Source organism: Homo sapiens, chromosome 1, assembly GCF_000001405.40.
Source record: "Homo sapiens chromosome 1, GRCh38.p14 Primary Assembly".
NCBI classification, from domain to species: domain Eukaryota; kingdom Metazoa; phylum Chordata; class Mammalia; order Primates; family Hominidae; genus Homo; species Homo sapiens.
The window spans coordinates 233,653,154-233,669,445 of NC_000001.11; the positions used below are offsets into that span (position 1 = coordinate 233,653,154).

At 40.3% G+C, this 16,292-nt stretch overlaps 1 protein-coding gene across 2 annotated transcripts in view; it reads left to right on the plus strand.

Annotated features, from left to right (window-relative positions):
- Window positions 1-16,292, plus strand: part of KCNK1 (potassium two pore domain channel subfamily K member 1) — a 58,409-nt gene that overhangs the window by 39,048 nt on the left and 3,069 nt on the right. For both annotated transcript variants that reach the window (NM_002245.4, XM_011544184.3), the window contains one exon: window positions 13,442-13,837. In NM_002245.4, the coding sequence (NP_002236.1) occupies window positions 13,442-13,837 (396 nt within the window). The remainder of the gene's footprint in view (window positions 1-13,441; window positions 13,838-16,292) is intronic.

The following is a 16,292-nucleotide window of genomic DNA, read 5'->3' on the forward strand; positions in this document are numbered from 1 at the left end:
CTAACCCTAAACCTGCTTATGCTGCTTCACCCATTTATTCCTGCAGAAACCACAGTAAAGTTCCCCCCTTGATTCCTTTGTGTCCTGACCAACTGATGTTTCCCTAGGTGCCCCCACAGCATGGCATGGCATGCCCCACTTTTGAAACCTGAACAAGCTGTCTTTTCAATTACAGATATCCCCTGGTCTGTTGGCCTCACTATACCTGAATAATAATAAAACTTACATTTTGAAACCTCTTCCCTGACTGATGGTTAATTGTTGTGTCAATTTGACTGGGCTAGAGGATGCCCAGGTAGCTGGTAAAACATTACATCTGGGTGCATCTGTGAGGGTGTTTCTGGAAGAGATTAGCATTTGAATCAGTAGACTGAGTAGAGAAGATCCATCCTCACCAAGGTGGGTAGGCGTTATCTAATTCATGAAGGGCCTGAATAGAACAAAAAGGGAGAGAAAGGGCTATTTGTCTTTTGTTGAGTTGAGACTTCTCTCTTCTCCTGACCTTGGACTGGGAGTTATGTCATTGGCCTCCATGGTTCTCAGGCCTTCAAACTTGGGCAGAATGGTACCACCGGCTTTCCTGGTTCTTCTGCTTGCAGACGGCATGCCAAGGGACTTGCTGGCTTCCGTAATTGGATAAGCCAATTCCCATAATAAATCTCTTCTTATATATCTATATATATCCTATTGCTTCTGTTTCTTCAGAGAGTCCTGACAAATATAAAGATTGATACCAAGAAGTGGGAGTGCTTCTAACGAATGTGGAAGTGGCTTTGGAAATGGGTAATGGGTAGAAACTGGAAAGAGTTCGGAGGTGCACACTAGAAAAAGCCTACATTGCTGTGAATTGACCTTTAAAGGTGATTCTGGTGAAGGCTCAGAAAGAAAAGAGGAGAGCTATAAAGAAAGCCTTAATCCTCCTAGAAAATACCTAAGTGATCATGAACAGAACGTTGGCAGAAATATGGGTAATAAAGGCCAGTCTGATAAGGTCTCAGAGGGAAATGAGGACCATGTTATTGGACAATGGAGAAAAAGCCATCGGGGTGGGGGGGAAAGGGAAGGGAGAGCATCAGGACAAATACCTAATGCATGCAGGGCTTAAAACTTAGATGACAGGTTGATAGATGCAGTAAACCACATGTATACCTGTGTAACAAACCTGCACGTTCAGCACATATATCCCAGAACTTAAAGTAAAAGAAAACAAATTTTTTTAAAAAGCGTCAGAGAACTTGGCTGAATTGTGCCTGTATTCTAGTGTTTTGCAGAAGGTAGAGCGGTGAACACTGAAATTACATATTTGGATAAGGAAATTTCTAGGCAAAGTGTGAAAGTTGTGGCTTGGCTTCTCTTGACAGCCTACATTAAAATGTGAAAAGAGAGAAAAGATTTAAAGACAGAATTGTTAATCAAAGAGAAGCAGCACTTAAAGATTTGGAAAATTCTCACCCTAGCCATATTATGAAGAATGAGATAACGGGTACAGTGGTTCATGCCTGTAGTCCTAACTGTTAGAGAAGTGGAGGCAGGAGGATCCCTTAAACCCAGGAGTTTGAGACTTGTCTGAGTAACATAGTGAGAGTCCATCTCTTAAAAAAGAATAAATAAATAAATGAGAAGGCACATTGGGAAAGAACACCAAGGGTGCGGCCAAATGACCATCTGATAAGGAGATTAGTCAACCAAGTGGAACCTGTTGCTCAAGGTGATTCAGAAGTAATTGGGGCTGCCACCTCCATCACAGCTCCAATGTGCAAAAGCTTGAGCAGGCAAGCATGGGACCTCCACAGAGAGCCCTTACTAGAGCAACATCCAGGATAGCCGAGTGGTAGGACCACCCCAGCAGCCCCAGACCTGTAGAGTCATAGACACGATTCTAGCTCTTGGAGCCACAAGGGCACAGAGCAACCTTTGGGGAGGGCCACCACGCCCGTGGGTTGGGAAAGCAGGACCACAGCCCTAGTGGGCCTGGGGGACAGAGCATTGAGCCAAAGAAGATTATTCTCCAGACAAAATTTTGGACTTTGCTAGGGACCTATCCTTTCTTCTTTTCTTTCTTTCTATTCTTTTCTTTCTTTTGAAATGGAAATGTCTATTCTATGCCTGTCCCACCATTGTATTTTGGAAGCCCCTTGACTTGTTTAATTTCACAGGCTCACAGCTGGAGGGGAAATTGCTTCAGAATGAATCATACCTTGCGTCTCACCCATATATGATGTAGGTGCTGTTTAAATGAGACTTTGGACTACAGACCTTCAAGTAGATACTGGAATGAGTTAAGATTTTTGGAACCATTGGAATGGACTGAATGCATTTTGCGTGTGAGAAGGACATGAAATTTTGGGATGCCAGGGGTAGAATGTTATGGTCTGAGTGTTTGTGTCTCTCCCAAATTTATATGTTGAAATCCTAACCCCCACCCTCTCAAGGTGATGGTATCAGGAGGTAGAGCCTTTGGGAGGTGATTAGGTTATGAGGGTGGAGGCCTCGTGAATGAGACTCGTGCCTTTATAAAAGAGACATAAGAGGGACTCCTTCCTCCTTCTGCCTTGTGAGATTAGAGTGAGAAGTCTATGAGGAAGCAGCCCTCACCAGACACTGAATCTGCTGGTGCCTTGATCAGAGACTTCCCAGCCACTAAAACTGTGAGAAATACATTTCTGTTGTTTATAAGCCTGTGGTATTCTTTTGTAGCAGCTTGAACAGACTAAGATACCCTTGGATGAGGAGCAACTGAGGTAAAGTGGGAAAAAAAAAAAACGGCTCCAATGCCAAGGGCATACTGGACAGCTCTTTAACTTATGCTTGGTGGTTGCTTCTCATCATTTTCAGTTAATCGTAAAGCATTCTACTTTTGTGGATTTCAAGTCCCTAGGAAAGGATGCTGAAGGAAACGACAGTTTTGTGAGACCATCAGTAATTGTAATGTTGACACCTCTGCATTCAAATGGGTTACAGGATTAAACAAGTGTCATCCAAAGGACCATCAGGATGGCTAGATAACAGAAAAGAGAGTTTCACTGGCAATACTGGTTTACAAACCTGGAAGAGAGAGTCTCCGGTGTGAACTGAAAATGCTCTCTCTGAAGAACAAAGAGAAGGTTAGAGGTTTTATAAAAAGGAGAAATGTTGCATATTGCTCTTTGAGAAGTTTCATTGGCACCAGTAAGGTTTTGAGGAGCTGGCAGGCTTCAACTGATAAGTGAGGGTGGTGCGTAAACCCAGTCTGAGAGTTGCAGCAGGTCGTCTCAGTAGTCGTTAGACAAAACTGGTTTCAGGTTACTGCAGGCAGTGTCAGCTGCCAGGCCTGCAGAAAATTATGTTTTTTGGAGCAATGTTCTTCACCCTGAGTGCTTTTTCCCCTTGGCTTATTGATTCTTTGTTGGGTATGACAAGAATGACTCATTTCATGTGATCAGCTTTCACACAAGGGTGACAAAGCTTCAATTATTTATTTCTTTATTATTTATTTATTTAATTTGGGACAGAGTCTCTCGTCGTCTAGGCTGGAGTGCAGTGGTGCATGATCATGGCTCACTGCAGCCTCAACCTCCCAGCCTCAATTGATCCTCCCACCTCAGCCTCCCGAATAGCTGGGACTACTGGCACATGCCACCATGCCCAGCTAATTTATTTAGTTTTTGTATAGACAGAGCTCACTATGTTGACTAGGGTGATCTTGAGCTCCTGGCCTCAAGCAATCCTCTCACCTCAGTCTCCCAAAGTGCTGGGATTACAGGTGTGAGTCACCATGCCCAGCCCAAAGCTTCGTTTTAAGTCTCTTTTATTTACTTTTTTTGGTCCTAGTCATAACACATTGTAAATATACTCTGTCAGAGAATTAGATAGCTTGTTGTTTTTTAAGTCTTTTCTAATTAATCTGTTCATGTAATTTAGTAAGAAAATATTAAAGGGAAATCTTGCCCGAGAGATGGCCAGTACTGAGTAAGAAGCCCATTTGGTTTGTGTCTGGGAGGATGGGCAGTGAGGATGAGTGAGGATGAGTTTAATTTAGCTTGGTGAGAGGGGGACAAATCCACCTTTTCACGAGAGCTGCTTTCTCATCGCTTTTTGTCCCCCTTCATCCACAACCCCCGCAGCCAAGGCAGTGTCAGTAAATTTTGGGATGGAAAAGCCTTAGGTAGGATTCTTATGTTTTCGAAATGTGACTGATTGGAATTGGGGGAAAGCTGTATTAAAATTGGATATGTGGTAAAAGCTGGATATGTGGTTATTACCCATATCCAGTAGTGGGTCATGTTCCTGTGCTACCATGATCTGCCCGCAGTAACCTAGCAAGACATCAAATCACAGTGTGCAGTAGATGGTACCGTTGAACAAGCCAAGCCATATTGTCTGCAGGGATCTGAGATGATAAAGAGATTATTACAGAATTTGTTTTCATAAGGAACTGTGTAATTATGATGATTAGCCAAAGAAATAAGAAAGAAAGAAAGAGAGAAAAAGAAAGAAAAGAAAAGAAAGAAAAAAGAAAAAGGAAAGACGAAAGAAAAGAAAGAAAGAGAAAGAAAAGAAAGAAAGAGAAATAAAGAAAGAAAGAGAGAGAGAGAGAAAGACAGCCTGGTCTGTTACCTATGCTGTCCTACTATAGCATTTAATATCTTACTGCAAATTTTACTAAGTTATAACTTAAAAGTGTTAATTTTTTTTTTTATCACTTTGACAAACTTAGCCTCCTACAGCAGAAGGTGACTGATCAAAAGCTGGACTGTCAACCAGGTACTCACCAGCTTAGAGAGAATGGAGAAAAGGAGTATAAAGAATTTGAATAATTGTATGTAACATACGTGTTTCTTTTGAAATTTCAGTTTTAGGAAGCAAGGCCTGATGAGATGATCTTCATTTGTGAGAGTATGCAGAGGGTGGTGTGAAAAGACATGGCAGGGATTCGTATTTTTAAAATGGATGGAAAAACAGTTCTAAAAATATGAAAAAATAAGGACAAATAATCATAATTTAAATTCTCAAGCTAAGAAAGGTTCAACACATTTCAAAGTTAAATTGTAAACAGTGTTAGGGAAAAGAAACCATACAGAAATGGGACAACAGGGATCCATTAGAGTTGGATATCATTCATTTACTAGTTTGAGGGGCAAAATAAATAATTATATGTGTTTTTAAATCATAGAGAATGAACCCTGAAAATGTTTAATGCTTAGAAAAGAAAGCATGTATAATAGAAATTTTAATTTGGCCAAATTGCTTACTTTAAAATTAGAAAATTCGATTTTTTTGATTGCATAATTTTGGACACATAATTAATAAGCAGGTAGATTAAAAGGAAAAACCTACATATTAAGCAAGAATCATCTAACAAAAACAGTTCCTTATATAAGAGACTGTATGCTAACTCCTAGATGCCAAGAGAGAAAATGAGACTACATGAGACTACAGTCAAGCGTCACCTAACGACAGGGATACGTTCTGAGAAATGCATCCTTAGGTGTTTTTGTCATTGTGTGAACAACGTAGAGTGTACAAAGCTGAATGCTATAGCATATTGCTCTAGGTTACAAACTTGTATATCATGTTACCGTACTGAAGACTGTAGGCAAGTGTAACACATGGTATTTGGAGATCTAAATATATCCAAACCTAGAAATGATACAGTAAAAATACAGTATAAAAGATTTTTTAAAATGGGACACCTGTATGAGACACTTAGCATGAATGGGGCTTGCAGGAATTGAAGTTGCTCTGGGTGAGTGAGTAAGTGGTGAGTGAATGTGATGGCCTCGGAGATTACTGTTCACTACTGTAGACTTTCTAGACACTGGACACTTAGGCTAAGTTCAGTTATTTAAAATTGTTTTCTTTCTTCAATTTATTTTCTTTCTTTAATTTATTATATTAATCTTAGCTTTTGTCACTTGTTTACTTTATAAACTTTTTAATGTTTTTAATTTTGATTCTTTTGTGATAACGTTTAACTTAAAACACGAACATGTTATACTGCTGAAAAAGTATTTCCTTTATATTCTTATTTGGTAAGCTTTATTTTTAAATTTTTCAGTTTTTTTTTACTTTTTAGATTTTTTTTGTTAAAAACTAAGACACGAACACACACACTAGCCTAGGCCTACACAGGGTCAGGATCTTCCACCCGCACATCTGTCCCACTGGAAGGTCTTCAGGGGCAGTAACACGCATGGAGCTGTCATTTCCTATGATAACAATGCTTTCTTCTGAATTCCTCCTGAAGGACTTTCCTGAAGCTGGTTTACATTTGACATTTTTTTTATTTTAAATATTTTTTATTAAAAAAAATGTCAAATGTAAACCAGCTTCAGGCAAGTCCTGTAGAAGGAATACAATCTAAAATAATGATAAAAATTAGTAAAAAATTGTAACTATATAAACCAGTAACAGTCATTTATTATCATTGTCAATATATATACATACACTATAATCGTATGTGCTATACTTTTATGCAAATAGCAGCGCAGGAGGTTTGTTTACACCAGCATCACCACAGACACTTGGGTAATGCATCGCCTTATGATGTTACCATGGCTACGACATTGCTAGGGGATGGGAGTTTTTCAGGTCTGGTATAGTCTGATGGGACCACTGTCATATATGTGGCCCATTATTGACTGAAACGTCGTTATGTGGTACATTGACTACACTGCCGGCAAGCTCCTATTTAAGTAAACAAACACAATAAACACAAACAAACATGAGAAGTCCAGAAGAAAGGCCAAGGATGATAAGAGAACCTTCTTAGGAAAAGGAAGCTACATCAGGGCAAGGGGCTGGTTCTCACCTGGAAGACACAGTACTGCACACTGCAGCCAGATGAGTGCCATTTTCATGTTTCAGAATGGAGCCATCTCCAGGATATACTGTTAAAAGAAAACTCCTAACAGTAACCTCTGGAGAGAACTAGAATTGAAGAGGACATGAGTAGTCAAGGGGACATTTGCTGCATCAGTGTTGTTTGAATATTTTACAATGAAAATATACTTATATATTGAGTAATTTATAATCATAATGTACAATTTTGATTTCTACTTTTACCTGATATTTACGTTAATGTCTTTAGAATATAACTCATTCTTTGGGCTGTTGGACATCCTATCTTACTTAGCTGGTATCTCTGCAATTAGATATTTATTTATAAACAGGGATTCCTTGAGAGTTATCGTTTACATTAAATAGTTAAATAGGAAGATAAGTATTTTATTGGAATTTAGTTTATGCTTATATCACTGATATTAATTATTGCCACAGAAACTCTACTTTTGAAGATCACCACTAATTTGTTATGTTTCATGTTTGTTTGTCACAATTTAGGGACAGTCTTCATTGATGACCTTACTATTTACCACAGAAGTTCATCTATGTGGCTCCAAACTCTATTTCAAGAATATGAAAGGCATGTAGGTTATGCCTACGTTCTCGGACCCTTGATAGATGTTTTGCTGACCCACCTTCTGATATCTGTAGAGTTACCCTAGGCTCCACCTTCCACCAACCAGTTCTGTGTGTGAGTTGCACGGTCCTTTGTTCATTACTAAACGTTGTTTTTGCGCTCTCCTGTCCTCTCATTTCAGTCTCACTATCTTAGAATCAGCTTCACGGAACCACAGGAAAGACATCATTGTTCTTCTTTTGCAGGTAGCGAGTAACACCACCCTCTCACTGAGAGCACCTAAGAAATAATGTTAGGACTTGAGTTGACTTTTGATGCATCCGTGTCCTTTGTATCATATAATATATCTGGATTGGTAGAGTGCAAAGATTATGGGCTCAACTTGTTATTTGTATGACTTTGAGCAAATTGTCTAAACTCTCAAATACTCAGTCTTTTTATTTATAGAGTAGAAATAACAACTCTAGGATTTGGAAATTGTTATGAAGGTTCACAATTATTCTGCATACACTACAGCTTATACACATATGGCAAGCAGCTAGGTGTGGCTGTTTTTATTGAGTGTTTTGAGCCCGTTTCCCTCCTTTCCAGAACCTACCTCCTCAGACTGATGGATGCATGATGAGTTCCCCTTGCCTAAGTTATTATTTCTAATCGTTCTTTCACTGCGCTGCCATTTTTAGTGGAAACTTCATTGCAAAAAGTGCAAGGTTCTCATCTGTGGAACTTGAGTTGTTTGCTGGCTCCCCTAGCTTTTAAGTGTGGTGTATTAATTTAGTCCCTCTCTCAGATGTCCACTATAAGGTAAAGAATTGATGCCATGTCCCAACTAGGAATGCCATTGCCTCTCTGTCTTTGCTTGTTAGCAAGAAACGATTCATGAATGAGTAGAAACAACAATAAGTGTTTAGAAAAGTATTAAATGAATGAGGCAGTAAAAAGTGATCCCAAGAAAATCCTAGACCACTTGCACCTGCCATGACTTGTTACCTCTGTGACCTCTTACCATCTGTGCCTCCTTGGTCGCGTGTATTGACTGTAGCCCACTTTCATTCTGTCAGCATTTCTCTTCAGTCTATTTAGAGCTCCCTTGAGCCTTCTCTCTCTGGCAAACTTCTTTTTATAACATAAGCAAAATAACGGAAGATGTACATTCCTTGTTGTGTGCATGGCATGGATGGGAAGGATGAACGGAGTTTATCCATGAAAAGTATGGCTGTCAAAAAAGGGAATTATGAAGACATGTTGTATGCAAGATATCTTGAAGTTAACTTTTTAAAAATATGAAACAACTTATTTCCAGCAAAGTGCAAAATGAAAATCACAGAAAAAGTCAACCTGACCTGAAGCTTATTCATCACCGTGCAATGAGTTTCACCATACAGTGAGTTTCTGACCCATGTGACATTGAAGTCACTAACAGCACCGGTGTTACGGTTCACTGTAGATTGGACAGCACTGTGTTTGGGGATCCTGGAGAAATTTAAAGTAGGAGAGGATGTGGTCTACCTCCAGGGCCACACAGTCCAGCGGGAAAGAGATAATTAATAAGCTGAAGTCGAGGACTGCAAAGTAAATTCTGTTTTACAGAAGGGGAAACATTGCGACTGATTTCAGTATCTCTGCTGAGGTGGAGAGGCTGAGGTTCTTCTTTCGTAGCTGCTGCTGCTGCTTCTTCTTCTTCTCCTTCTTCTTCTTCTTCTTCTTCTTCTTCTTCTTCTCCTCCTCCTCCTCCTCTTCCTCTTCTTCTTCTTTTTGCATGTATCAAGCTAACTTAATGGAGAATGTATACATTGTTCCATATCATACTAAATAATGCAAATAAGTGATACTGTTACAGACTCAGGGTCACAACGTGGGGCCATTGTAAGCTACACCTTTCTCAAAAGCATCTGGTGTATGTGAAGAAGTTGCATATCAGTGACTTGCTCTGATGTACTCTATAGGAGCCCAGAAAGGTTCTCTGTCTTGGCCCTCATTAAGGAGCATTTAAATACCAGAAAAATCTAGCGAAGCATAGCCCCTGATTGGATATTAGCCAGCATAGTGTCAGGGCTGTTGTAATTAGAGTAGCCAGATGGGAAGGCAAATTTAGTAGGGGACTGTCATCATTACAACCACCCATTATACGTATACTCATACATGCCTCACAGATGCAAGCTCATAACAGGAAACCCAGCAGTTGTGGAGTAGGAGGCTAGAATACAAGAACATTAGTGAGTGAGAGCTTTGCCTCAGGATTATAACTAATTTTGAGGTCAGTTTTTTCAGCAGTCTTTGTTATGTTCAATCTTTTGGTTCCAAAAATTATGTGATGACTGGCCTTAAAAAAATGTAACCCAAGTAAGCCTGGTCTATTAACATTTTGCTAAATTCTTCGTGGTTTGTAATGGAGTTAAATATGATTATAAGATTTAAAAATATGAATTTTGCTTCATGATCTATCTGAAGGTTCAATTGACTGGACTTGAGTAAATTATTCACGACTTCATTAAAATTCAATAGGACTGAAAGTTTCCGTCAGATGCATTAAGCCGTCTACTGCAAACGAAGCGCTGTGTTGTAGTTGGTGCAGAGGGTGGTTTACTCAATGTGGCCTGTGCTAAGTGTATGGAATGCAAATGAGATGTAAATTTTATATTTTACTTTCCATTACCAAAAAATTATTTATGTACACATCAGGAGAGGAAAATTACTTTCAGTAAGGATCTGCGTGGTGGTGATTTTTAATCTCTTAGTGGGAATATATAATATTTTTACAGTACTAGCATAAAAATGCCATTACTGCAGAGAGAGGTCTTAGAGTCTTATAATGATTATCTTCATTGCTTGGAGATAACATTTTAGTAAATGAGATTTAGTTAACATTCTAATGAAAAGAGCTATCATAATTTGAGAGAAAATTCCTAAGCTAAAATATTTTTAAACTAGAAGTTTGTTTACTTTTTTTTCTCTACTAGAACCTAAATTATGTAATTTATTGCAACAGATGGTATGGAAAATTTGGATTGTGTGTTACAGTTTTAGTAAAGCTGATTTATAAAAATTTATAAAAAGGCTACCAAAAAAAGTAATAAAATCATAGACTTAAAGGCCTTCGTGGAGTCCAACTGACTCAGCTGATCTTATGTTTTCTCGACAAAATCAGTGCCAAAGCTAAATTCATCTCTTGCAGTTTCTGTTTGACCTTCTGGTCATGTGAGCACTGTTGTTAATATCTCCTAACACTTTCAGTCACAAGCTGGTAACTACATTTGCGAATCGCTTTTCAGTTGGCTTTTTTTTTGCGGGGGGGTGGGGACAGAGTCTCGCTGTGTCACCCAGGCTGGAGTGCAATGGCGCGATCTCAGCTCACTGCAAGCTCCGCCTCACGGGTTCAAACAATTCTCCTGTCTCAGCCTCCCAAGTAGCTGGGATTACAGGTGCCCGCTACCATGCCCGGCTAATTTTTGTATTTTTAGTAGAGATGGGGTTTCACCATGTTGGCCAGGCTAGTCTCAAACTCCTGACCTCGTGATCCGCCCGCCTCGCCCTCCCAAAGTCCTGGGATTATAGGGGTGAGCCACCGTGCCCGGCCTTCAGTTGGCTTTTTTATGGTTAAATAAAGTTCCATTTTTCAGATTCTATTTCCAGATCTCTGCAATCATCGGATCATCCCTCCTTGGTGCCTCGCTGAAGTTGTAGCTCCCATTAGTTCAGGTGGTTCTGTAATATCAGCTGCCTTCCTCAGAACGAGTCTCATTCTTCCTTCACATATTTTTTTTTCTCAAAATGAAACATTCAAAGGCTCCTGCTTCCATATGTAGCATGAACATTATTTGGCACCATCCTTCATGTTATTCTCAAGGCACTCTCCAACTTGCCCATTTCCCTCTTTCAATATGATGCCCAAAATTAGTCACCGCATTCCAGGAGCAGTTGGGTGTGCAGGGACCAGATGGATTCAGGAGCCAACACTCAGAACAAGAGTAGTTCTTAACCATTTGAGGACGCGTACCCCTTGAGAGAATCAAAGCCCTGGAATCTCTCCATGGGAAAGTGGATGTACAATCTCAGAGGATTCCTGGGCCTTGCCGTAGTTCATTCATAAACTGTGTACCTTCTGGGACAGTGGGTCAAGAACCCTGCCTCTGCCGTGGTGAGGCCGTACATGGGAATAATCAAGGAAGCTTTTTAATAACCACACACACTTGTATAAGCCTTAAGTATAAGGCAGAGAATTTGGGGGATTTGCAACTAAGGAGTTTGTTTATTTTTAAGCTGAGTGTATTTTAGAGATCAGATTTTGAAACTACTTTTCAATTATAATCACCTGTGTGGATTTTTCTCAGAATCCAATTTCATTTAAAAAAAATGTATTTAGCTGGCTTTTTCCTGAATTGACTTGTTCAGACATGTTAGTTCTTTTAAGATGAAGTGCTCATGAGATTTTAAAAATAGCCACCAGGCCCCATGCCCAGCTGGGTTCTCTGTTGGCGTTGGTTGGATGAAGAGTCCCCTGATTAGCTAGATTTGGGAAAAACTTCAACCAGGTAGAAAGTAAAACAGACATGTGTTTCAACCACTGGTCCTAATGTAATTTTTTCAATGTTTGTGGAATTTATGACATCTTTGAAAATACAGAAATGACCGGGGGGTGGGGGAAATGTGTCAGTTTATGAATGTGCCATTTAACCAGATAACTGGGCAAAATATTTTACAAGAAGTATTCTCATGAGCGGTACAGAGTAAGAGATAACCACGTCCATGCACATTTGTGCCTTTCCATAGTGTCACACTTTTACTGATGCTATTTCAGTCACAAAAGCCAGGAGCTGCATGGAATTCCAAGGAGGGAATTCTCCCTAGTACCTTCTGTTCACTCGGTAGTCAGAGCTGCAGGCACACAAGCCACTTCACAAGTCAATTGTATTGCAAGCCATACATAATAGTATACTTAATCAATAGATAAGTGTTACAGATCAAACATTTCACAACAAACAAAGTAACATATAACATCAAGAGAAAAGGGACAAGAAGAAGGGTTAACAAACCAGTCAAGGGAGACTGGGAGAGCAACAAAGACCCAAAGAATCCCCTGGTCGGGGCCAGGCAAGTGGTCCACAGGTTTTGCAACAAAGAGTCTTCAGTGGGGGCAGAGCCTTCCCGGCAAATGCCAAGTGCTAATCACAGTTGACAGCAAGGCAGTGTCAGTTGAGATGGCCGTTTTGAGCTACCAATGTCCTGCTCTTTTTATGGCCACAGAGTCCTCTGGCGAGGACTGATAGTGACAGAATGTGCTTGTTTTTGCCCTTATCTGGTTGGATGCAGACTTTATTTATTAAGCATAACATCTTGTCCACGTTGGCAAAGTGCCCTATGAAATGTAAGATGGAGTCTTTTTCTAAGATGGAGTTACTCATGTCAAGGGTGCTGTATACAAGTGCTTGATCCTGTGACATGGCATGCTTTAATCTTCATTTTTCTTCCGCTTTTTGATATCTCTATCTTCATTGATTCTACTCCACCCTCTTACTGGACTCATATTATCTTGGTTCTATTCACACACCTTTATTTGTCAGTCATTCCTGTTAGAACATTCTGAGTAGTTTGGGAGGTGAGTGTAGACTGAGGTTTACACACTAATGAGGATGCTTGGGGAAAGTGAACTGAAGGGGTGGAGGGGATAGACTGGCCCTGGTGAAGTGGGTAGCCTCGGATGAGTTTTTCCTGATGGTCTAAGATGGGTGTGGGCCTTAGCTTCTTAGTACACAGAACTTGTGTTTGAGCCTGATAGTGAATTCAAGACCAGAGACCCTGATGTGTTGGAATTGCTGGTTGGATTTTACAAAGAATGGTGGACTTTCAAACTTATGGTGACCACTGTTGAATTTTACTGGGACATGACAATTATACTAGAGCCCCTAAAGTGGCAGACCTGAAGTCTCGCTGTTCTCTTTGGTTTGAGGGGAATAAGGGCAGATGATAGGCATATATTGTTTAAAAACGTGTTTGCCACTTTGTCTCTTCCTCTTCGCCTCAGTGACCTTGTTCTCCTTGCAGGTTATGGCCACACCGTGCCCTTGTCAGATGGAGGTAAGGCCTTCTGCATCATCTACTCCGTCATTGGCATTCCCTTCACCCTCCTGTTCCTGACGGCTGTGGTCCAGCGCATCACCGTGCACGTCACCCGCAGGCCGGTCCTCTACTTCCACATCCGCTGGGGCTTCTCCAAGCAGGTGGTGGCCATCGTCCATGCCGTGCTCCTTGGGTTTGTCACTGTGTCCTGCTTCTTCTTCATCCCGGCCGCTGTCTTCTCAGTCCTGGAGGATGACTGGAACTTCCTGGAATCCTTTTATTTTTGTTTTATTTCCCTGAGCACCATTGGCCTGGGGGATTATGTGCCTGGGGAAGGCTACAATCAAAAATTCAGAGAGCTCTATAAGATTGGGATCACGTGTGAGTATTACAGCTCCCTGGCTGCTCCTTCTGTCTCCTTTATTTTATTTATTTATTTATTTATTTATTTTGAGCCCAGCTCTCACTCTGTTGCCCAGGCTGGAGTGCAGTGGTGCGATCTTGGCTCACTGCAACCTCCGCCTTCCGGGTTCAAGGGATTCTCTGCATCAGCCTTCCAAGTAGCTGGGCTTACAGGCTTCTGTCTCTATTTTGCCATTGCAAGCTCCACTTCACCTCTCAATGAGGGGTCATTCATAAAAGCACTGATTGCTTTCTTCTCATTGAGAAGTTTTCCGAATTTACCACCTTCTCAACCATTTCATTTTATGGTTTCCTTCAAAACTGTTTATGCAAAAATCTTATTACTGAGATATTTTTCACAACACCTTAAAATTACAGACGAATTTCTTACTAATAATGTAGGCGTTATAAATGACAGTGTAAAAATACATCATACAGGCCGGGCGCGGTGGCTCACGCCTGTAATCCCAGCACTTTGGGAGGCCGAGGCGGGCGGATCACGAGGTCAGGAGATCGAGACCATCCTGGCTAACACGGTGAAACCCCGTCTGTACTAAAAATACAAAAAATTAGCCGGGCGTGGTAGCGGGCGCCTGTAGTCCCAGCTACTCGGGAGGCTGAGGCAGGAGAATGGCGTGAACCCGGGAGGCGGAGCTTGCAGTGAGCCGAGATCGCGCCACTGCACTCCAGCCTGGGCGACAGAGCGAGACTCCGTCTCAAAAAAAAAAAAAAAAAAAAAAATACATCATACAGAATGTACTTGATAACCAACTGTTAATTAAAAAAAAAGATTGCTCTACTTTATTAAATATTTTAAGGCCAAGAAAACTAGGCCTCGGATAGAGCGTGTTATCAATCATGCTCTTTAATTTACCAGAAAAGTCTTAAAAGAGCTGCTTACCTCATTTGTCCATCTGGTTCTTTTTAGAAGAAGTTCGCCTCTATTAACTGTTTCCAGAATTTTGTGTGTGGAAAATAAAATGGGCATTCAAATTCAGATGGTCAGGGATTTATAATTTTTTAACAGTTTTCATTTTAAATTCAATGTAATATCATAGAAAACTTAACCATCCATTTTCAAGAAACTGTTCATTTCTGTGTGAGCCCTCCTGTCCTTTTCAGCATGCACACAGTTGCAGTTATAATGTACCTACTGTTTTCATTTCTGTCTTGCCTTCTTAAGAATTTTTCAATTTACGACTTGGCTCAGGTCACGTTTTCTAGCGAATCATAGTAGATACTCAAGCAGCCAGATGCTCTGTCTTGGCCCTGTCTTGTAATTCTTAACCCTACAAAATGCTTAGTTGAATTGTGTGTATTTTGACATTTCCTTTAAACCATGGGCTCAGCCAAAACAGACGTTACTCATAAATCCCTAATGCTTTGAACAGTGCCTGGCTACCATACAAGTTCGACAGACTTTTTTTTGCCAAATGGTTACTTAGGATAATTTTATATTTCCTGTAGCTACCATAGGTATTATTTTTAGAGCCCATATGGTATTCACCAGGTGGCAAAACCATAATCCAATCATGCCTCTATTGCTCATTATTTAGCTTTCTTCTAATTCAGGGGTATTATAAATGACATTGTAGAGAATTTTTTTTTTTTGAGATGGAGTTTCATTCTTATTGCCTAGGCTGGAGTGCAATGGCACGATCTCAGCTCACTGCAACCTCCACCTCCCGGGTTCAAGCGATTCTCCTGCCTCAGCCTCCCAAATAGCTGGGATTATAGGCACCTGCCACCACATCCGGCTAATTTTTTGTATTTTTAGTAGAGACAGGGTTTCACCATGTTGGCCAGGCTAGTCACGAACTCCTGACTTCGTGATCTGCCCGCCTCAGCCTACCAAAGTGCTGGGATTACAGGCGTGAGCCACCCCACCTGGCCAAGAATATTTTTGTATATATACACATTTCCTCCTCTGATATTCTTCCAAGAAATGAGATTGCTGGTGCAAAGTGAATACGCCTTTTTGTGACTCATAGAACATAATGACCTGGTGCTTTCCAAATGTTGTTATGAGTTGACACGTCACCAGCATTATCTGAGTGTGACAGTTTCAGCACTCCTGGGGTGGTGATGGCCAGTAGCATTAGAGATGTTTTTTGTGTATGTGAGTTTGATAGCCAAATAAACATTATCTTAACTTTCTTTTCATATTATAGGTGATTGTTTTGTTTTATTTTATTTTATTCTGTGACTTGGAAAGTAGAATGTTTCTGTAATTATGTTTGCTAGCTACAATAATTTTCTCTTATATAAATTGTCTTCTCATAAATTTTGCCCAACCACTTAACTTCTTCAGTGTTTCATATAATACTAAATCCTTGCATAACATTTTATCACTTCTTACAATGTGGATCATTTTTTAAAAAGCAATCTACATAGAATTAGTTTATGTTTTGAGCATCAAGAACCTGAGTATCTA